The 23,036-nt window shown below is 37.3% G+C and overlaps 1 protein-coding gene across 16 annotated transcripts in view, besides 1 other annotated feature; it reads left to right on the top strand.

Annotated features, from left to right (window-relative positions):
* Positions 1 to 23,036, top strand: part of FOXJ3 (forkhead box J3) — a 159,333-nt gene that overhangs the window by 55,327 nt on the left and 80,970 nt on the right. For 10 of the 16 annotated variants that reach the window (XM_047449488.1, NM_001198850.2, XM_024454163.2 and 7 more), the window contains 2 exons: positions 1,882 to 2,206; positions 15,365 to 15,439. In XM_047449488.1, the coding sequence (XP_047305444.1) occupies positions 1,882 to 2,206; positions 15,365 to 15,439 (400 nt within the window). Of the gene's footprint in view, positions 1 to 116; positions 269 to 1,769; positions 2,207 to 14,241; positions 14,779 to 15,364; positions 15,440 to 23,036 lie in introns of those variants that run through there. The other 6 variants (XM_006710459.4, XM_005270632.5, XM_017000693.3 and 3 more) reach the window with 4 other exon arrangements.
* Positions 21,061 to 21,110: a silencer, noted in NCBI's record as "silent region_757". NCBI's record gives its function as "represses an Ori minimal core promoter by ATAC-STARR-seq in GM12878 lymphoblastoid cells {active_cell/tissue: GM12878}" and the evidence as "EXISTENCE:reporter gene assay evidence [ECO:0000049][PMID:35858748]".

The raw sequence follows: 23,036 nt of genomic DNA, 5'->3' as shown, positions 1-23,036 counted from the left end.
TTATCCTATCTTCTTATTCTACAAGTCCCTATAACTTCTTGCTGGGAACAGGCATTTCTGGTTGAGATTGTAGAGTAGGATAGTAAGTTTTTTTTTTTTTTTTTTTTTTTTTTTTAAGATCTCTGAAGATGCTATATGGATGAATTTAAAGTTCAGGTTCAGAGGAATGTGTACAATAGAGATGGAGGGAATTTGAGAAAATGAGTAAGGTAAAATTATGGATCAACATACCTGAAAATCAAGAGGACTCAATTTACTGGCAGTGCAGGTAGAATCCTCGTGGTTGTCTTCTGATTTATAATTGCTTTTGCTTAATGTGGTTTACTTTATAGTGCATTGGTGCCCTCCCAAGATACTCCTAGACTAATATTATTAACTAGCACTTACTGAATATTTTTTTGTGCATGTTTTAATACATTTAATTTTCAAAGTAATATTTTGACCATAAGTACTATTGTTGCATTTTACAGATGAGGAAACTGGGAGGTAGAGGTAATTAACATCTTCACAGTTCTACAGCTTATAACTGTTAGAATCAGTACTTAGACTCTGGGTCTTCCTTACCCCAAACTCCCTGTTCTTTATTATTCTCTGTTGCCGCCAAGTTGTTCAGATCCTATACATAATATTCAAGGTTGCTTTTTGTCAGGAGCCATTTGGAATGAAGGGGCTATATGGGATTTTCATAGCTACAAATGTTTTCTTTTGACTTTTAAGTCAAAAGAAACCTTTAAGTTTTTTTTTATTTTGTTGTCCTTTTTTCCTTTATTTTGATATCACTTAGAAGTCTTTTCATTCTTCTCTACTTTATTGTCAGTCATTATTCCTGCTTCTTTGATCCCAGAATAGAAGGGCTTATGTCCTCTGCTGAAAGTTAACAATTCCAATGTGAAGTGTCAAGCCTTGTTTCTATATTCTTATCTTCAATTCTTAGAGCAGCTTTCTCCCTTTTCGAGGATATGTGTTAACCTGGCAGATTTAGTTTTCTTTCTTTGTGTGGTAATGGTCTGAATTTTTCAGCTTTGGAGAGAAATACACTACAGAATTCAAATCACTGGACGTTTGCCCAAACCTGTCTTTTAGTTTTTAATGCTTCTTTTCTTGCTGACCATTTATGTGATTTAATGCCTTAGATTCTGTACTCCCACAATTTCAGTTAGTTTTTGTAAACCTGTTCCTTGACTTGTTTTTTAAAAAAAGTAACTCCCTGGTACTGCCTAATTTAATTTTTCTCTCACTCATCAGTGTCCTTGACTTTGCATTCCTTTTTTCGGTCAACTCCCCCAGCTAGCTTGTCTCCTTGCTATTCTTGTATACCCTGCTTTACTCTTCCTACCGCCTACCTGCATAAACTCTACCTTCTTTCCTTCATGCAGATTCCTATGCCAGTTTCTCAGTTACTTCTCTGACCTCTTGCCTCCACCTTACTTTTTGGTAATTTGTTTTTATGACTCTCCTAAAATTTGTGTAAAAGAAATGCCAGAGGTACATTTTAAGCTTTTAACGGCTTGTGGTGGTGGTGAGTAAAAGAGTTGGGCTGCAGCTGGGTTTTTCTTACCAAGATCCTGTTGCCCTCTTAAAGAAACAGGCAGTGATTTTTAGAAAGATTGGCATCGGAACCACTTTGTTTGTCTATATTCTGTATTTTAAACAATTTTAAAACCAAGTTTGTTATGTTTTGGTGAGGAAAAAATTAAGAAAAAAGATTGGAATGTTGATCCCTTAAATATTTGGTTTGCTCATTAACATACTCAATCTTTTTCCTCCAGATGTAACTCAGGCTTTCCCTCACTTTGGAACTCCTAGATTTGTGAATATTGGATATTTTGAGAAGCAGGGGTTCTTTCCTTGATATTGACTAAGGAGTCTATTTACCTTCAGGATGACATCTGAACTGGAGAGCAGCCTAACGTCTATGGACTGGTTACCACAGCTCACCATGAGAGCAGCCATCCAAAAATCTGATGCTACACAAAATGCACATGGAACAGGAATTTCTAAGAAGAATGCACTCCTTGACCCAAATACAACTCTGGACCAGGAAGAAGTCCAACAGCACAAAGATGGGAAACCTCCATACAGTTATGCCAGCCTCATTACATTTGCAATTAATAGCTCACCCAAAAAGAAAATGACTTTAAGTGAAATTTATCAGTGGATTTGTGATAACTTCCCATATTATAGAGAGGCTGGCAGTGGTTGGAAGGTAAGGATTTTATTTAAATTATTACTTTTATGAAGTAAGCAATGATGTTGATTTCTACTGAAAATAAAGCTTTGTGAATGCTCATGTAATTGAATATGAAATTTTGATCTCTAGTGATTTTTAGGATGTCAAAAAGTTTTTAGCTTAGGTGAATAACTTTATTTTTGGTAGATTATTAGTGTGTTGAAGCTTGATTATGTTATAGGACTGATGTAGCATAAAGTAAGAGCGGGGATAATGTAGCGTTCACTGGAAACCATACCTGCAGTTCAGGTGAGTTGACAGTGAGCCTAAAGTGAAAAACAACGTAGTATTGCAACTAGTACTAACTGTCTTTATCAGTCAAGATTTTTTTTTTTTTTTTTTTTTTTGAGATGGAGTCTCGCTCTGACGCCTAGGCTGGAGTGCAGTGGCGCGATCTTGGCTCACTGCAAGCTTCGCCTTCTGGGTTCACGCCATTCTCCTGCCTCAGCCTCCTGAGTAGCTGGGACTATAGACGCCTGCCACCATGCCCAGCAGATTTTTTTTTTTTTTTTTTTTTTTTTTTTTTTGAGACGGAGTCTCGCTCTGTCGCCCAGGCTGGAGTGCAGTGGCGGGATCTCGGCTCACTGCAAGCTCCGCCTCCCGGGTTCACGCCATTCTCCCGCCTCAGCCTCCCAAGTAGCTGGGACTACAGGCGCCCGCCACTACGCCCGGCTAATTTTTTGTATTTTTAGTAGAGACGGGGTTTCACCGTTTTAGCCGGGATGGTCTCGATCTCCTGACCTCGTGATCCGCCCGCCTCGGCCTCCCAAAGTGCTGGGATTACAGGCGTGAGCCACCGCGCCCGGCCAGATTTTTTGTATTTTTAGTAGAGATGGGATTTCACCGTGTTAGCCAGGGTGGTCTCGATCTCCTGACCTTGTGATCCGCCCGCCTCGGCCTCCCAAAGTGCTGGGATTACAGGCGTGAGCCACCGTGCCTGGCCAAGATTTTTTTTTTTTTTAATTAGAGACAAGGTCTTGCTCTGTTACCCAAGGTCGAGTGCCTGAGCACGCCACCATGGCCAGCTAATTTTTAAATTTCCTGTAGAGATGGGGCCTTGCTCTGTTGCCCATGCTGGTCTCGAACTCCTGGCTTCAAGTGATCCTCCTGCTTCGGCCTGCCAAAGTTTTGGGGTTACAGGTGTGAGACACTGTGCCTGGCCAAGACTTTTAAAAAATATTTATCTTGAAAGAATTTTAGATTATTGCAAGAGTTGCAAAAGCAATACAGAAGGTTCCCATGTATATTTCATCAGCTTCTTCTAATGTTAACATCTTACATAACCATAGTACAATTATCAAAACTAAGAAATTGACTGAGCATGGTGGCTCACGCCTGTAATCTCAGCGCGTTGAGAGGTGAAGGCAAGAGGATTGCTTTAGGACAAGAGTTTGAGACCAGCCTGGGCAATATATGTTGCTCATGATTAGATGTTTTCTTGTAATTAGAATGAGGTAATACATTTTTGGGAAGAATAATACCGATATGGCCTTTTGTGCATAACATATCAGAGGATAGATAATATAAGTATGTCTTAATGGGAATGTTAACTGTGATTCTTCGGTTAAGGGGATGTCTGCCAGGTTTCTTCATTGTAAAGTTTACTATTTATCACTTTGTAAATAATAATATGTTTTGGGGGGATGCTTTGAGCATATGCAAATACAGTAAGTCCTCAACTTTGATAGGTTCTTGGAAACTGACTTTAAGCAAAACAACATAAAATGAGACCAATTTTTTTTCCTCATCAACATTATAACGAAATGATGTTATTTGAAGACGTGCTATACTTTTGTTTGACTTAGTGTTGCGGTTTCCAAGAACCCCATTAGTAGTGCTAAATGAAGACTTACTGTACTTTATTTCTTAAACTTTTATCCATTAATTTTAGCATTCATTGGTAGGTTATAACGGTAGCAATTATTACTCTCTCCCCTCTCTTCCCCTTTCCCCCGCCCCCTTTTTTTTAAGACAGAGTCTTGCTTTGTTGTCCAGGCTGGAGTGCAGGGGCACCATGTCGGCTCACTGTAACCTCCGTCTCCTGGGTTCAAGCAATTCTCCCGCCTCAGCCTCTCGAGTAGCTGGGATTACAGGCGCCCACCACTGTGCCTGGCTAATTTTTATATTTTTAGTAGAGACAGGGTTTCACCATGTTGGCCAGGCTGATCTCGAACTCCTGACATCAGGTGATCCACCTGCCTCAGCCTCCCAAAGTGTTGGGATTACAGGTGTGAGCCACTGTGCCTGGCCAATTATTACTGTTTTTAAATGGTGATTGTCCCTTTTCCTTAATTCCTTTGACATTTATTAATTGATATTCTTCTGAAAAGATGAGTTGTTCCTTTAGTCCCTTTTATTCATTCAATAATTTATTTCTAATAGTATGCACTCATAGATATTTATTCTTTGTGCTGTTGTTGTCATTCAAATTGTGCAACTTTGGCCACTGGGAGCTCTTACAGGCTGGCCCCATACTTCTGTTTGCTTAGCCCTTTTTTTTGGCACCTTGAGATGTTCCAGGGCTATATTGTATCTTCCTTGCCCCTGGAATCAACCATTTCTTTAAGGAGACTTTTGAGGTACTAGCTAATTTATGTTATACAACAAATCATTCAACTTTCTTTTTTTAAATTTTTATTTTAAGTTTTATTTTGTTTTTAGACAAAGTCTTGTTTTCTCTGTCAGCCTGGCTGGAGTTCAGTGGTATGATCCTAGCTCACTGCAGCCTCAAACTCCTGGGCTCAAGTGGTCCTCCTGAGTAGCTACGACTACGGGTGGGTGCTGCTATGCCCACCTGGCTAATTTTTAGGGTCTTGCTATGTTGCCTGGACTGGTCTTGGCCTCAAGTGATCTGCCTGCCTCTGCTTCCCAAAGTGCCGGGATTATAGATGTGGGCCACTGCTTTCTTTCGTCCCTGCACATGTTATATTCATATTCTTACATAGGAATTAACAAGTCGTGTGCTATGTGGGGTGTGTGTATACATGTAGAGGAAGGGAGTTATAGGGCTTTAGGTCTATCATCAGATGGTAGTTACTCTTTAGTTTCTCTTAGGCCTTCCTACTTCAACACTTTTGCCTTTTTCATTTGACTGGATTTATTAGAGACATTTGCTGATTTACCGTGCACCAAGGATGTGCTGTGCGTGATTCCCTTGTAAGGGAAGGGATTGTGCCTCATTGAAGTTTTTGTATCTCTTTCTCTTCCATACCTTAGCACAGAGTGCTTCCATTTAGTAAGCTTCAATAAGTGCAGTTTGAATGAAAGCATGAATCTTGGTCCCAATCTACCTTTTCAGCTTTATTTTTTGTACCTTCCTTTCATATACTTCTCGCCATTCCAGCCTACTAGCTGTCCCTGTAAGTAAGCACATCTATTTCCTTCTTGCTTTTGTTTTTTTCTTATTTCTCCTTGGACCTTGTCTCTTTTGCCCCCCCGCCGCCTTTTTTTTTTAGTTGATATTGCCCTATTATTTCAGCTCATGTATTATTTCTCATCTCCCTATAGAATCAGTCTCTTGTGTTACCATATGCTTTATTAATAACAGTATTATAAACTTAGAGTTTTTTTGTTCAGAAATCTTGTTTCATTAGTTTTTGTTTCTGTACTTAGATACTCAAATAATAGCTGCTTTTATTATTTTCTGTCTGCCAGGCACTATACTAAGTGCCATCATTGTCTCTTTAGGCCACACAATAGCCTTATGAAGTAGGTACTATTATTTTCCAAATTTTAAAGGTGAAAAAACTGAGAATTAGAGAAGTTAAGTAACTTTGTAGAGTTTCTCAGCTAGAGAATGATAGAGTCAGGATTTGGTACCAGACTTGGTAGATGTAGAGATTTTTTTCAATGCTCATGTTCTTAACCATTACACAAGATGCATAATTCTGCAAAAACTATATTAAATACTTAATAAATTTAATTTTCCAGGATAAACTCCCCTCAACTGGCTGACTCAGTATGAGAAGTGATTGTTAACAGTATATTTTGAATAGGAGTCTATCCTAACAGAATGTTTCAGTGGAGGATATACCGAATAAAACTTGAATGAAACATGAATCAATGCATCATTCTAAGCAAGTAGTAGTGGCTCTATTTAAGCTGTGCTTTCTGGCTTTACCCCTGGGTACTGTAGACTTTCTTTGTCAATATTTAGCCTGAGAAAAGGCTAGAAAATTTTGATAAACCTGTGTGGCAATGAACACACATGGTGGCTAGGGAGTAGAAATGGCTAAAATTTGAGTATGTGGCTTAGAAAGCCCAATAAGAATTCATGGGTCTGTATCATTGATTGTAAACCTAAGTGCCTGCAGATGCCAGGTAGGTGACGTAAATGGGGAAAGCAAAAAAGGTGCCAGACTAAAGAGTGTGTTTAATGTAAAAGGAGCAACTATGTTCTAGTCAGTTACTGCTTTTTAGGGCACATGGCAGATCTTCCAGTCTACCCCGCTCCCCAAGAAAAGGGAAATCTGGATTTTGTGTGTAATTTTCAAATTTTTAACTGTTGTCAACTAATTCTGATTTTCATGAATCTCTGCAGGCCAGACATAAATCTTGTGTCTGGGTTCAGCCTAGGGAGTACTAATTTGGAATATCTGGTCTACATGATATCCTCCTCTTTTCTGCAATTTTTTTTTTTTTTTTTTTTTGAGATGGAGTGTCGCTCTGTTGTCCAGGCTGGAGTGCAGTGGTGTGATCTCGGCTCACTGCAAGCTCTACCTTCCTAGTTCAAGTGATTCTCATGCCTCAGCCTCCCGAGTAGCAGGGACTATAGGCGCATGCCACTATGCCTAGCTATTTTTTTGTATTTTTAGTAGAGATGGGGTTTCACCATGTTGGCCAGGCTGGTTCCGAACTCCTGACTTCAAGTGATCTGTCTACCTTGGCCTCCCAAAGTGCTGGTATTACAGGTGTGAGCCACCACGCCTGGTCCTCAGCTGATTTCGTCTTTCATTTGATAATGTGAAAAGGATTTATTTATTATCTGCTCTTGTGAAGCAGTATGCTAGGCTTTGGCAGTACTAGGAAGCATAGCACAGGGCCTAAGGGAGCTACAATCTTTATTAGATGAGAAGAATACATATAAACAAGTAATTATGCTGTGTAAAAAGCTCTGTAATAGAGGAATCCAGAGTGCTGTGCTATAAATAGTTGACTAATTGGCCACACCTACTGTGTGTAAACTATAAAAATATCCATTGTGTATGTGACGTAGTAAAAAGTGTTAAATGAAGGGTACAGTTAATGAGTTTATGGGGAGTATGATAATCTAAATTGAGTGGTACAGAGTAAATGCCACTAGAGTACAAGGAAGTGGGGAATCATTAGATAACCATTGAGGGAAGTGGGACTTGAGCTGTGTTTTGAAGAAGAGTTAAGATTTGTGGAGGTGTTTTTCAAAGTTCAAGTGTTAGGAAGCACTTGGTTATAGTGGCTTGCAGTAGAGAACGTGATAGAGTCAGAATATGGAGATCCTATGAATATATGAATGCCAAACTGAAGAGCTTGGTCCAAATTTAAGGAATAGCATATAAAGTTCGAGTATTGTTTTCCTCATTAACTTGTCTGGCTTCATTTTTGATGACGTCTACCTAAAAATGCCAAATCCATTCTGCTGATACTCCTTGCCGATAGCCAGCCCAAGTCATGGGTCTGAAACTGTTTTAGATGTAGTGATAAAGTTTCAATGGGAAGAAAAAGAAATAGAGAACTAATGGGTAGAGAAGGATGATGTTGCTCTTAGAACTAGAAGATCCTGAGAGAGATGATCTGGTCCAATCTACTGCTTTAGGCAGACTTTTAATATTTCCAGAGATTACTATTAAAATTTCCTTTACCCAATTTTTAAGTATTTGGTGCCTAGCACATGGCATGATCACTTTTAATTTTATTTTTATAAACATAGAAATATTTTGAACACTTCGAGTGGAGACAGATGGAACCTAGTTTATCTTCTCCTTTGCGCAGGCCTTGTTCTATTTTACTTCCCATTCACTCTCCTTAGTTTTGTTTAGAACACTTCAGCAGTCTGCTGCTAACTCTTCTTCAGGTATGGAGGCGATAGGATGTGGGAAAATGGGAGGTCACTTAGAGCTTGTGAAGTTAGCTTGTATTGGTTGAAGAGAGGTTTGGAGAAAGACCTTAAAGTGACTGTCACCACCTTTCCAGAAATGCAGAGTGAACTGATGCAACACAGAGGACATTATGTTGCCCCTGTTGCTTAAAAGGACTCAAATAGAATTTTAGTAAACTCCCTTTCATTTTGTGTCAGGGCCTTGAAGGGAGATTACATATTAAAAATACCTCTTTGGATATTCCATAATTGAATGATTTTGTATTCTGAACTAGAGGAAAAGGAATTAAATTTTCAGGCTCTGTGCAGTGGGGGCTCATGGCTCATGCCTATAATCCCAGCACTTTGGGAGGCCAAGGCAGGAGAATCACTTGAGACCAGTCTGGCCAGCATAGCGAGACCCTGTCTCCACAAAGTAAAAAATAAAAAAAGAAATTAGCCGGGCATGGTAGCGTGTCCCTGTGGTCCCAGCTACTTGAGAGGCTGAGGTGGAAGGATTACTAGAGCCCAGGAGGTTGAGGTTGCAGTGAGTTATGATCATGCCACTACACTGCAGCCTGGTGACAGAGCGAGACCCTGTCTCCAAAAGAATAAAATAAAAAATAAAATTTCATGGTATTCACTTTGAGGAAAGTTAACTTATTAAGTTGTTGAAGTTTAGGATAATTTTAAAAAAGAAAAATACAAAGGTGGTGTGTGGGTGTATTGTGCTACTTTTTGTGTGGGTAAAAAAGGAATAATATTATACATTATGTGTTTGGTCATTGTTGTGAAAAGAAATTTAGGAATTTAAACTAGAAGTGTATTTAATATAACTACCCCTAGGGGATAGTTGGGAGCCAAGGTGGAAAGGATGTAGAAGGAAATAAGATTTTGAATATACCTTTTTATATGGTTTTAACTTTTGAACCCATGTACATGTTTTACATATTTAAAAAAAAAATGAAAAGGGATGAAAAAAGGAAACCCTCAAAGAGAATGCAAGCAGAAACAAGCCTAACATTGTTTTGAATTAATAATGTGATCACACAGAAAAAAGCAAATTGAAGAAACTTTTGGTATATACCTTATATACCTTCATGGCATACATTCCAAGGCCAAAAATAGTTACAAAGAAATCATCAACTTAGTAGATTTGTGTCCGGTAGTGGAACTTCAGTAGAGGCAGTCTCTATCTCCAAAAAACCCCTAGGAAAGAAGCTGGGAGGGAAGAAGTTAGAAAGTTGAGAGCAGTTCTGAAACCATTTTAGGTAGGGTAGAACAAATGAGTACTTATATTGATTTTTGGGGGGACCTGTGGGGACAGAAACCAGGACTCACAGAAGAAAGAATGGATAAGAATGTAGCAGTTGGTTGGATTGGAGGTGGCAGTTTAAACTCAGCTTTAAATAAAAATTACATAGAATGCTTTTAAAATTAGAATTGTCAGGTCACTACTCCAGAGATTTTAAATTAGGTGCCTTGGATAGAGCCTAGGAATCTGCATTAAAATAACATTTCAAGTAATTCTAGTGCAGATAAACTGTAGTTTTGAGAAACTGCTTTTGGGGACGGTGTTTTTAAGGCCAATCAGCATGGCTTCATCATATTGATTGATTAGGTGATTGAAAAAAATCACCTAATTATTTCTGCCTCTCCACTTCACCAACTTCTTTTCTTGGGGTTATGGGAGATGGGGACTACCCAAGCTGTAAGGTCTGAAGTAACCTCTTTTCTTTGTGGGTTTTATGTGTATGTACAAGTCTTGGCTTTCGTATCTCAGTGTTTTTACATTCTAAATAGGTGTTAGGTATTTTTTTTCCAACAGATATGTGATTACCCTTTGAAAAACATTGTATCCTAGCTTTTGGGTTAAAAGACAAGGTTCCTACCCTCATGGAACCTATTTACATTTTGGTAGAGAATACAGCATGGAGGGGGAAGACCATTAAACAAACAATTGCAAAGGTGATGAGAAATTCAGGATGACGAAGTTTATTACAGTGGAACTTATATCTGTGAACACCAGAAAGGGCTTCCCTAAAGAACTGAAGTTTAATCCAAGAATGAATTGAAAACTGAGTAGATTGATTTAGGTAAAGAAGATGGAGTAAGGCTGGGGGCAGTAATCTTTGCAGATGTAGCAATTTGTGGAAAGCTTAGAACCTGAGAGAGAACATTGGAGGGGATGAATGTTGAAAGCAAGATAGGGTCAGATCATGAAGAGTCTTTGGGGGCTTAAGAATATTGGATTTTGTCCTAAGTGCACTGGAAGTTTTTAAGTTAAGGGGTAACACCAAAATTGCATTGTGAAGACATAACTCTCTGCAGGGTGGAGAATGATGGAAGCAGGGCTGAGAGGAAGGGAGACACCAGTTAGGAAGCTGTTGTACTAGTTTTGCTGAGACTGGTTCCCTGGATTGAGATAGTCACAGAAAAGATGGGGTAAGATAGGCAGATCTAAGGTAGGCTTAGTAAGATTTAGTGATAGATTTGTTTTAGATGGTAAGGAAGAGACAGGAGTTAAGGATGTTTTTTAGGTTTCTCATTGGAGCAGTTATGTGAATAATAATGTCTTTAAACTGAGAAGGGAAAACTGAAATAAGATCACATTGGGCATAAAGATTGAGTTTAATTTTAAATATGTTGAGTTTGAGGAGTTTCTGGAGATGTGCAGTTGATAGTTGGAAATACACGTTAGGAACTCAGGAGAAAGGTCTGTGCTGGATCTAGACAGATTTAAGTGATTTATCACAGGTGGCAATTGGCTGTAACTGAGATTGGCTAGGCAGCAGATGTAGAAATGAAAAAGACATAGGGCAGAACCCTGAAGATTTCCAACATTTAAGCTTTTTGTAGAGGAGGAAGACTGTAGAGGTGTGTACTTCCTTTGAAGTGATGAGTTCACACTGAGCCATTTACTAATGATACTTGTTTCTTCTGACCATCTTGATTTGTATTTTCCCCTCATCTTGAACTTTTAAGCTGGGTAGGTGAACTAGTTTGTCTGATGCCTCTTTCTTTTTTCATGTCTTATTTTAGATTTGAATTGTGTATTTTTTATGATTCCATTTTATCGCCACAATTCTGTTATTAGTTATCCCCTTTCTAAATTGTTTTTAGTGATTACTCTAGGGTTTACTATATACATCTTAGTTCATTCAGGCTGCTATAACAACAAAAAGAAAACCAAAAACCTAGAGTGGGGGGCTTACAAACAACAAATGTTTATTTCTCATAATTCTGGAGGCTGGGAATTCCAAAATCAAGATGCCAGCAGATTCTGGTGATGGCCTGTTTCCTGGCTCATAGATGATCCCATTCTCATTATAACCTTACATGGTAGAATAGGGAAATAAATTCTCTGAGGCCTCTTTTATAAACACTAGTCTCATTCATGAGGACACCCTTCATAACCTAATCACCTTAAAGGCTCCACCTCCAAATATCATCACATTGGGAATTAGGTTTCAACATAAGAATTTTGAGGGGACGCAGATATTCAGTTGATTGTAACATCTTTAAGTTACTGCACTTTACCTTCAAATAGTATTAAACCATTTCATGTATAATGTAAGAATTTTATAAACCACGTCTTTCCAGTTCCTTTGACCCATCCTTTTTGCTATTGTTGTCATACATTTTACTTTTACATGGTTCCAAACTCCGTAATAAATTATATTTGCTTTATACAATTTATTTTTTATATTTTACAGTCTGAATATCTTCATACAGTTTTTTTTAAAGCATTAAATCTACCTTCATTTTTTACCATTTCCGGCACTGTTCATTTATTTTTGTGATCTGCATTTTTGTTTGATTTCATACTTCTGCCAAAAGAACTTCCTTATAACAGTGTCAGTGAGCCGAAATGAATTTTTTCAGCTTTTGTTTGGAAGTCTTTATTTTGCCTTTATTTTTGAGAGATATTTTCACTGCACAGGTTTTTTTTTCTTTCAGTATTTTAAGATGTCACTCCATTGCCTTCTGGCTTGCATAGTTTTTGAAAAGTCCACTGTAATTCTTACCTTTATTCCTTTATATATAATCTGCTTTCTCTGGCTGCCTTCAAGATGTTCTTTTTTTTGATTTTTAGCCCTTTCACTGTAATTAATATGGGGATGTGGATTTTTACTTTATTCTGCTTGGTGTTCTCTGAAATTCTTGCATATTTGGGTTGATGTCTTGCATTATTTTTTTGAAGATTCTTGACTGTTACTTCAGATTTTCCCTCTGCCCCATTCCTTTTTTTTCTCCTTCTGGGACTTTAATTGCATTTATCATCACACAGTTCTTGGATGATCTGTTTTGTTTTTGTTTTGCTCTTTGTGAATGTGCCAGTCTCTGTTTGGAAATTTCTGTTACTCTACCCTCAAAATTCTCTGAGCCTTTCCCTAGTTGTGTCTAGTTTAATGATGAGCCCATCTGAGGAATTTTAAAAATCTTTAATCATGTTTAATGTTTTTTATTTCTATCGTTTATATTTGTCTCTTTCTTTAGTTTTCACATTTCTGTTGAAATTCTCCATCTCTTTATGCAAGCAAGTTGTCCACTTTTTTTCTGCTAGACCCTTTAACATATTAAGCATGGTTATTTTAATTTTTTTTTTCTGATAGTTCTAACACCTGAGTCTTCTCTTGGGTTTTGTTGATTATTTTATCTCTTGGCAGTAAGTTTTCCTTTCTTTTCTATGTCTTATAATTGTTGCCTGAGACCAGATATCTGTGTAGAAGAATGGTAGACGTTGAGTTAAATAGTACTTGTACTTGTGAATGGACAAGCATCTTTTTTCTCAGGCCGTTCTTGTGGGGATTGAGTCTGTCTGTCAGTAATGTGGATTTTTTTAAAATTTATGTCTTTATCTTCAGTATACCACAAACTTTACATTCCTCCAGCAGTGGGCTCCTGTTAATTTGTGCTTGGAGAGGGTGCGGTAGGATTTTTTTGTTTTTTCATCTCTTTAGATTTTAGTTGTCTCTGCCCACCTTTTTACACATGGGGATTTCTCGTCCCTTCTCTGTCAGTAGACTGTGTTTGCTTGTTATTCAGTGGTATGCTTTTGGTAGAGGCAAGGAGTTTTCTCTGTTGTGTTGGTCCAGCCTTAGTCTTATGCAGACCCTCGAACTTAGGGTGGGCTGTTTCAGTGTTTCTTCCCTCAGCCAGACTAGTCTTGTGTATCTGTAGTTACTTTTGGGTGAGAGTTTCGCGCCTCTTCTCCAGGTGTAGCAGACCTCTACATGGTATCTGTATAGGATCCTGGGCCCAAGGTAGTTTCCTATACCTCTCCCAGAGTTCAAGGGATTTGCTTCTACTTTTCCTCCAGCAGCAGAACATCTTTGCCTATGTACTGGGTAAGGGTTTCCTATCCCTTCCTAGAGGCACCAGGGTTTTGTTTCCATTCTTCCCCCAGAAGCAGTGAATCTTTGCCAGAGTCCTATGGGTGACAGGTTTTGCTGCCTTTACTGCAAACTTGTTTTTTTGCTTTGTAAAATCTATGGAAGGTTGGTGGGCTTTGTCTCCTCACTGCCTGTCACTGTCAATCACTTTCTTCCTGTTTATGCCACTAGGGGAGACTTTCTTGGGTCTCCTTTCCTACCCCTATTTTTTCTTAGGAACACATGGTAAAGACCTATGGAGAAGAGCTTAAGAGTGTGTGGGAACTTCTCGTGTCTGGGGTTCTTGTTGCTCTAAAGTGACAGCCCCACGCTTGGCCTTTAAAATTTTAGCTAATTTCTTTTTAACTGCTTGGATGGTGGCCATCTCTTTTTCCTGTGCTCTGCCAAAGGTGATTTAGTTGTGTGTCCAGTTTCTCATTGAATAGCCTTGCTCCTCTTAGGAATGTGGTTTGGTTGCCTTGCAACCTGAGCTCTCTGATGTGGCTTAAAAATAGGTTTTTTTTGTTTATTTTTTTTAAAGCTTACCTAGGGTTTTCTCTTTGGGAGAGAGCATCATTCTTTGTAGCTGTTTACATCCCAAGCATAAGTTTTAAATTTCTGCTTTGGTAATAGATGGTCTTGAATTTATATTCTGTAGTCATCTTTTAAAAACGTTTAAAATTCCAATATTGTGCCTGAGGGAGATAAGTTTTATTATAGGCATTCTTGTTAGACTACTGAATTTTATATTAAACAATAAAGCAGATATTATGTCAAAATATGATCCCAGAAGGTACCATTCTAAGTAATGGCTAAATGCAGTTGGACCTCTTCTCTCCCAAATACTAGCCATTTGGGAACAAACCAAGATAATTTGAGAATGGGTTTTGGAGCATTTAATTGAGAAGAAATGGACTTTGGGGCATATTCTGTAAGAATTGGGGTACAGTCCTACCTATTCATGAACAAATTTCTTTTTCACAGACTCTGCAGGTTTCCAAGGGCATTTTCCTGCTACCCACCTTGGGTGTTCTTCCCTGCTACAATGAAGAATTTAGATGTTCTTCCCAGCTCCCTGTAGCCAGTATCTTTCCATGTGGTTTTCTTTTTTACAGATTGTGGTGAGAACCTAATAGGGTTCTATATGTTTTTTTGTAATAGAGCAGTGAATGTTTTTTTAAAGCATTTTTTAAACTAATTAATAAGTGGTAATACATGTGTCTTGCAGACCATTTGGACTTTGCAGAAAAGTAAAGAGAAGAAAATAGTCATCATCTTTAATTTCATGTAGAGTAACTTCTTACATTTTGCATTCTGGCTTATTTCCAAGAATAAATAAATAAAATAAGTACCACAATTAAAGTCATAATATGTATCATAATATGCCAATTTTATATTTGGAATTTAATATTTAACATTACATTACAGGCATCTTCCTGTATCAATAAAAGTCATAAGCACTTAAAATGCTACATATATTACATTTTATGAAATCCTCTAGAAATTATTTTCCAGTAACAGCTTCCCCTCATAGCATTCATAATTTGAAAGTCAGAAAGATTTAAATTTTAAGCTGATTAAAAAGTTTATTCCATTTGTAATTGTTTTGCAAAGCATAAAGATGTTTAGATTTCTAATTCTGTTTTTAAATTTGGGTTATGTTTTTTGGATTTTATTGACCTTATGGCTTTTCTTCTTTAATTCCAGAATTCCATACGACATAATCTGTCATTGAACAAATGTTTCCTTAAAGTGCCTCGATCTAAGGATGACCCTGGAAAGGTAGGATTCATCTTCTTAAAACAGTTGAATTCTTCAGTATGTCACTTGTCATGTTTGAATTAAGAACTTTTCCAGTTCATTGAATAGGAACCTCTGCAAAATAGTAAGTCCTCCCCCACCCTGCTCTAAAGCTTGTTAGAGAGTTTTAAGCTGTGGGAACCTAACTAGTGTATAGCTGTTGCACACCACAGTGCTGTTGTACTTTGCTGTTTCTAATCTAATCTTTGGTTGAAGTATTGTGTATTAAATTAAATTTGGTGATTGAGCTGCTTGTCAGGAACCATAATTCATTATTACATATAAGGGGTGCATCTCTGTGTAACTGGCAAAAAGTGGAAGTATTCTTACACTGGAATAAAACAGTTTCTCTGTTATTAGCCCATTTCTGAGTGTAATCAAGAAGAGTATTCTGTACTTGACTCTTCTTATCTCCTGACACCACTGCATTTTTCACGTTTTTAGCGTTTTTTCTATGGTGACTCCTCCCTTTTTTTGTTGTTTTAATAGCTAGTCAACTATAGTGTGACCTGAACTTGGTCCTAGTTGCTTGGTCTCTGAAACTTAAGAGTACTTGGTTGTACTGTATTTGGTTGTCAAGGTAAGTTACTAGATTAGGACTTTGAGACAGTGTATTTATTGGGAAGCACGATGCTTGTTTAGGTGGCTAGACTTCTTATATTTGTTTTTAGGCTAACTGATTTTGGAAGAATCTTTCTAAAATGTAACCCTGGTCATGTAAGCACCTTGCTTAAAAGTATTCCTTAGTGTCCAGGAGGTGTTTACTTTCTCTTCTTGTAAAATATTCTTTACTGTTTTTTTCTCAATCTGCCTTTCTAGCTATAATTCACCTCATTCAAGACTCATCATGAAGAACTACTTGAAGTTTTCCAAACATGCTATTCATATGGTCTTCTGTACAAATTTCCTTGCTTTACTTGTCTAGACTGCTTCTTATCTTTCAGTATTGAGCTGCAACATGACTTCTCTGAGGCTTTTTTGTTTCCCCATACTTCAGCTGAATTTGTTGCTCCCTCTTTTGAGTTCTTTTTATTTTGTAGCGACCGTCATCATTGTAGTAGCTCCTAATTGGACTCTCAATGGCTGGGCTCGATCCCTCCAGTTTATATTAACTTTCACATAGTAGGCAGCAATCTTCAAAAAAAAAAAAAAAAAAAAAAAAAAAAGTTAACCTACTCATATGGTCTCTTTTTTTCAAGCTCTTTGTTAGTTATCTACTGCCCTTAAAATCTAAATTTATGCAAGTAGGGTTCATGTGTATCTTGTTCACTGTTTAGACCCAGTTGCTTGCACAGTGGCTGATGGCACTGAGGAGACACCCTTGTTGAATGAATGAATATACTGTATCCTCTGTTAGACTGTTAACTTCTTGAAGTTAGAGATGAAGAGTTATTCGTTTCTATCTTTAGGCAGTTTTTCTGAAGTAATGAACATTTTATAGCACTTTTTATCATCTGTCTGCTCCGTCAAGTTGGTTCTCAGTAAGATTGAACAGATTATTATAATAGTCTTGTAAGAAATTGTTTCTCTATGTTTTTAACTTTGAGATTCTGAATAGGAATTGGTGCACCTTTTCCTTTAAAGGAAAGGAGGCTTATTACAAAAAGATAATTAGATTTTAAAAATAAATTCTTTATCACATTTCCTATAGGCAATGAGTATATATGAATCAGACTGAAAAATATTTTTAAGAGACTTCAGAGATTATTTACTAGAGTCCTGTGAAGTTACTATTTGGGTTCTGTAAACATTTTGGTTCTGATTGGATTTTTAAATGAATTTGAAATAATTAAAAAAAATTAAAAATCAGTACACATGAATGCTTAATTCTATCATGTACTTGATTTTAACCAATTGGAGACTCTTAAAAATGTGTCATGTCAGGTATTTTTCTTTTGTGTAGAAGTTTAAGCTTTTGTTCATCTTTAATATATGGGGTAAGACAGATATGGAAAACATGTTACTCTTTGCAACTCTTCTTTTTGAATCAGGATTCTCAATGTGCAACTAAAACAAAATACAGAAATAAATTGAGTCCTGAGAGGCTAATGAGAGCTTTCATCTTTTACCAGTAGTTTTCAGTTTTAAGGTTTTGTATGTATTAAAACACCTCATTCTTATTGATTTTGGTCATAATAAGTAAATATCATACATTTGATTTTATAAAGTACATTTGTAGTAGTAATTTTTCTTTTCAGTCTCAAAGTGAGGTTTATTTTATTTGTTTGTTTATTTGTTTGTTAATTTTGAGACGGAGTCTCACTCTGTTGCCCAGGCTGGAGTGCAGTGGTGCAGTCTCAGCTCACTGCAGCCTCCGTCTCCCGGGTTTAAGCAATTCTCCTGCCTCAGCCTCCTGAGTAGCTGGGACTACCGGTGTACATCATCATGCCTGGCTAACTTTTGTATTTTTAGTAGAGATGGGGTTTCACCATCTTGGCCAAGCTGGTGTCAAACTCCTGACCTCAAGTGATAGGACCACCTCGGCCTCCCAAAGTGCTGGGATTACAGGCGTGAGCTGCCGCACCTGGCCACAAAGCGAGGTTTAAATACATTTTTCTCTTTGATTTTGGTCAGACATAGATGTAAATTTGGTCTTATAAAATACATTTATGTGAATAAAGTCATTTTTATTTTTGATTTCAAAATGAGATTTTGTTTTTTAAGAAAACACAAAATTCCACTGCTTTAAAAAAGCTTTGAAGACTTCAGCTCAAGCCCATTTCATAAAAGAAGAAACTAAGGCCAGTAGATGAGGAACAGCTTGCTCAGGTTCATTGTGGAATTAGAACCCAGGCATATTCGCCAGACATACTTGTCAGTCACAGAAACTCAATACAAACTAACTTAAAGGGAAAAGTACTTAAGGAAGAACTGGAGCCAGGTTCTTAAATTATATCACCAGGAATGTCTCTTCATCCATTAGTTGTGCTAACTTCTCTGATAGCTTCATTTTCAGTCCAATTAGTGGCAAGTATGTCTTTCAGCAGCTTCTGGTTTATATTCCACCAGCTGAGTAACACTTAACAGAGAGAGTAGGCCTGGTGTTCACCCCGTCACCCCCCAAATCACCTGGAATTACAGAAAAAGTCTTAGAATGAATGTTGAACAAGCAAAGCACAGTTGGTTTCTTAGTTCTTAGATTAGTACTTTTTCCATGATATCAGTCTTCCTTGAGAGGGAGACCAAAATGTTAGTTAAGTTTTGGTACTTATGAATTGTTGTTTCTTTTTGTATTACAGTGTTTCCTGACATTTGAGGAGCTTTTCCAAAACCACCCTCACCACAGTGGGAGAAAACCATTGAGCGAAGTTGGGGTGGGAGTAGATTTTGGTCTTGGGTATGGGACGGACTTTATAACCCCTTAGGATTTTGCTAGCTGCTGCCATGACTTAGGTCAAGAGGTAGAAGTAGCTCGTATAGCATCTTCTCTGTATTTTCACGATACAGCTTTCTGTTCATTGTATTACCAGAGAGGTGTGAAGAACAACCTAATCTTGAAGTGTATTGTTGAATCATAGATGTTTTTATGTGGCTATCTATTCCTTACTTAATCCTTCATTTTCAAGAAGATTGTGTCGTAAAAGCCCTTAAAATTTGGTACCCTTTATGTACATTGGTGGTCTGAGATTCATTTTTCTCACCTCTTTACAACTAATTTCAAGCAGCTATGTTACCACTTTATTAAAAAAAACACACACACACACAAAATGAAATTCAGTTTTGCATCCACTTTGCTGCTTTTTTGGGGACAGATTTGTTTTTCTTTTCTCTTGATTATACCCTTTTTACCCTGTCTATACATTCTGCAGTCTATCTCCATTTTTTAAATCCCGTCTTTTGTCTCTTCTCTTTTCATTAGTTCTGTTTTCTCTATATTTGTCTTTTTTTTTTTAAATTCTTTGGGTTATAAGTCTTATTGTGTAATTCATACATGTGTCTTAATTATCTTAAAGGTAAATATTTACATCAGGGAAAAGCAGATTACTGGCTAAATATAGTTTAAAAAATATAATTTTCTTTCTCTGCTTTTCAGCTTAACCTTTTCTCAATTTTGTTTCCCTTTCTTCAGTTCAGAGAAATGATCTTTGACTTGAAAGGAACTAAAGGATTATAGGGCTTAGTTTCAACAGTTATCTAAACTTAGTAGCAGTGGGCTCTAATAGAACTGAGAAAATAGCTAAGAAGTTTAAAACCACATGAAGGCCACCTGACTATCCTGGGGAAATAACTACAGTTAATTCATAGAAGAGTTTTTAGGGGTGTAGGGGTTGGGGAATCTTTGTCTTGCCTGGGAATGGGAAGTTGTAAAGCCTCAGTGACCATAGAGATTGGGTTCTCCTGGTTTGTGAGGAAATAACAAATTCACTGCTAAGAGACTAACTTTTGAAACTTACAGGATTGTGATTTTTTTTTCTTTAAAAATTTCTTTTGAGACAGGATCTTGCCCTTTTGCCCAGTGCAGTGGTGCTCTCATAGCCTACTGGGCTCAGGTGATTCTCCAGAGTAGCCAGGATGACAGCACATGCCACCATGCCTGGCTAAGTTTTTGAAATTTTTTGTGGAGATGGAGTTCTCACTATGTTGCCTGGACTGGTCTTGAACTCCTGGCCTCAAGTGATCATCCTGCCTTGGCTTCCCAAAGTGTTGAGATTAGAGGTGTGAGCCACCACGTCTCACAAATTATGAATTTTTTTCTATTCCTATTCTGTAGCTTAGTATAAGGGACCATAACATAGTTGACTGATCTTTCTTTTCAAAGGGTATTCTTTTTGGGGGGGCTATATTAGTATTATGTTATATTTATTTGTAAATTGCTTGTTAATCTCTGGTATCCCATTTTGGTCATTTTCTTTAAAAAATATGTAGAAAAACTGGAGAGGTTTGAGGGAACATAAAATATAACATTAAATGATGAACAGTGTTGTAGGAGTCGTAGGTATTACCTTAAAGAAGGAAGATAAGAGTATAATTTTAATGCTAGTCTTAAGTAAATGCATGATTTTTGTAAAGAAGATGATGACTGTTTATCTGTGTTTCTGTACAAACTAAACAGGAAGTAGGACTGAAGGATAAGCAAGAGTTTGGTTGGACCGAAATAAGAATGTCATATTTATTGAAGTGAAAAAACACTGATACAGCTTCCCAAGGGAGACTTTAGAGTTTGTCACTTCTGAAGCACTTGAATAGATGAGGTTGCTAGCATTTGTCATTTTAACTCATGGTAGATAAGAACTCGAGTTGAAGGCTGGAAGAGGATATGATCAAGTTTAGCTGAGGGACGAGTCAGAGCAAAGCTGGGTAGAATCAGGAATTAAGGGAATTAATATAAGTACTAACGTGAGATCCAAGAGTGAAGAAATGGATTAGTGCCATTGAGTGATTGTCGAGACAGAGGTGAATTATGAATGTGAGGCATTCCATTAGACAAACCAAGGTTAGAAAGCTAAGGTATTCAGAAGATTAGAAAGATTGAGTTAGATAGAAGTGAGAGTCTGATTCAGGGAGATAACACTGCAGAAGCTGAAAGAAGTTTTGGCCTAGAGCCCTGACGTTAATACTGTTTGAGCAGTGTGGTTGCAGCTGCCTTTTGTTGAGACATACAGTGTTCTCTGTTCTCTTTTTAAAGTTGGAAGAGAACATTTTGTTGTTGTTGGCCTCTTTTTTCTTTTCCAGATCTAAACTACTTTAAAAAAATAACATTATACCTAGAAATTTAAAAAAAATTATATATGGTGAAATTTACTCTTTGGTGTGTAATTCTATTAGTTTCAACAAACACAGCGTAACCATCACTGTAATCAAAATAGAGAACAGTATTCCAGATTGTCACTTGGTAGTCAGCCCTTTCCCTCATCCCCAGGCCTTTGCAACTACTGATCTGTTTGTGTCCCTATAATTTTGCCTTTTCCAAAATGCCATATAAATGGGACTCATATAGTACATGGCCTTCTGAGTCTGGCTTTTTTGCTTTAGTATAATGTATTTGAGAGCTATCCATGTCGTTGTGCATATCAGCAGTTTTGTTTCATTTCATTGCATATATTCCATCACACGGATTTATCAGAGTTTAATCACTATTTGAAAGACATGTTTTTGTTAGTTGTATGATCATTTGACCATCAAGTTACTTTCTTTTCGGCTTAGACTTGACAGATATTGAGCTATAACACTCAAGTAGTAACATAATAGTCAAGTTAAGCTGCCTTGTGAGTGGATTATGTAGGTGAGCCATCTGTTTCTTGGGAATTCGTTATGATATAGTAAAACTTTATCTCTAACTTAAAGTTTCTAAAAGGATTGATTGGCACTATGATTTAAAAGCAAGATATGTCTGTTAATCCCTTAATAGGATGTACTTTTTAAGTATCTTTAACATTTAGGGGAATTGTTTACTATACCACAGTCAATATGCCAATTACATATTTTAATCCATTAAGAGTAAATTTCTTAACACTCTAGGCTTAATTTGATGATCAATGTATTTAAAAGTAATAAAAACTTGTATTTGTTCAAAAAGGGTATTTCAAGGACCTAAGCAGGCATTGGAATAGTTGTTATCCACATGTTCATTCGGTCAACTAGCCAGACAAGCAGACTGCCTTTGAGTACTTACTGTGTGTTGTGGTCTCAGTAGCTATTTAACCTATTGTCCAAGCTAGAAACTTCTGAGAATGAAAGTGGTGCTATTCTTAACTATGTTTGGGGAACAGTTATAAAGCAGGATTGAAACTCCAAGTATGGTTGCTCTAGATCTGTGGTGCATGCAAATGCTGTGCCTGAGCAGTTACCAGGAACAGCATCCTAAGAAGTTGGGAGAAAACAAGGCAAACAAATCTTTTGAAGTTGGATTGCCAAAATAAACTGGGAGAGGTTAAAAAAATAAAAGATGAAGGCATGGTATAAAGCCAAAGAAGTCAGGGACAAGAGGAATCCAGCTCCTGAGATGAATATGCATTGAAAGCTAAGGAAGAGCAGAGAATTGTCTATGATGATTCCCTTTACCAACGGGCATATACTTGGCAATAGTAATAGATTTCACCATTTGGAATGTTTAGCTATTTATGACAGGGACTGCTCTCCCCAGGAGTCTGAAATTAATATTAGCATTTTTGGTTTATTTGTACTTAATCAGGTAATGGCTTTTTTGTTAGGCTATTTTCAACCTAAGATAAATATGCAGGGTACTTTGTGTTGACATAAAATTTTAGCTAGAAATAAAGTTTTGGAATAGTTAAAATGCACTTTATTTGAAGTAATAAATACTTTTTAATGATGGGAATAACAACATTTAAGTTTATTGTTGATCTTTGACACATCTTCATTTCTGATGCATTTTCTTTTCTTTCTTTTTTTTTTTTTGAGACAGAGTCTCACTCCATCACCCAGGCTGGAGTGCAGTGGCATGATCTTGTTTCACTGCACCTCTGCCTCCCAGGCTCAAATGATTCTCCTGCCTCACCCTCCCCTGTAGGCGGGATTACAAGCGTGTGCCACCACGCCTGGCTAATTTTTGTATTTTGTATTTTGTATTTTTTTCTTTTTCAGTAGAGATGGGATTTCACCATGTTGGCCAGGCTGG

The sequence above is a fragment of the Homo sapiens genome, chromosome 1 (assembly GCF_000001405.40).
Source record: "Homo sapiens chromosome 1, GRCh38.p14 Primary Assembly".
Lineage (NCBI taxonomy): Eukaryota > Metazoa > Chordata > Mammalia > Primates > Hominidae > Homo > Homo sapiens.
The sequence above is the reverse complement of the archived record's forward strand: the minus strand, read 5'-3'. Positions and strand labels throughout refer to the sequence as shown.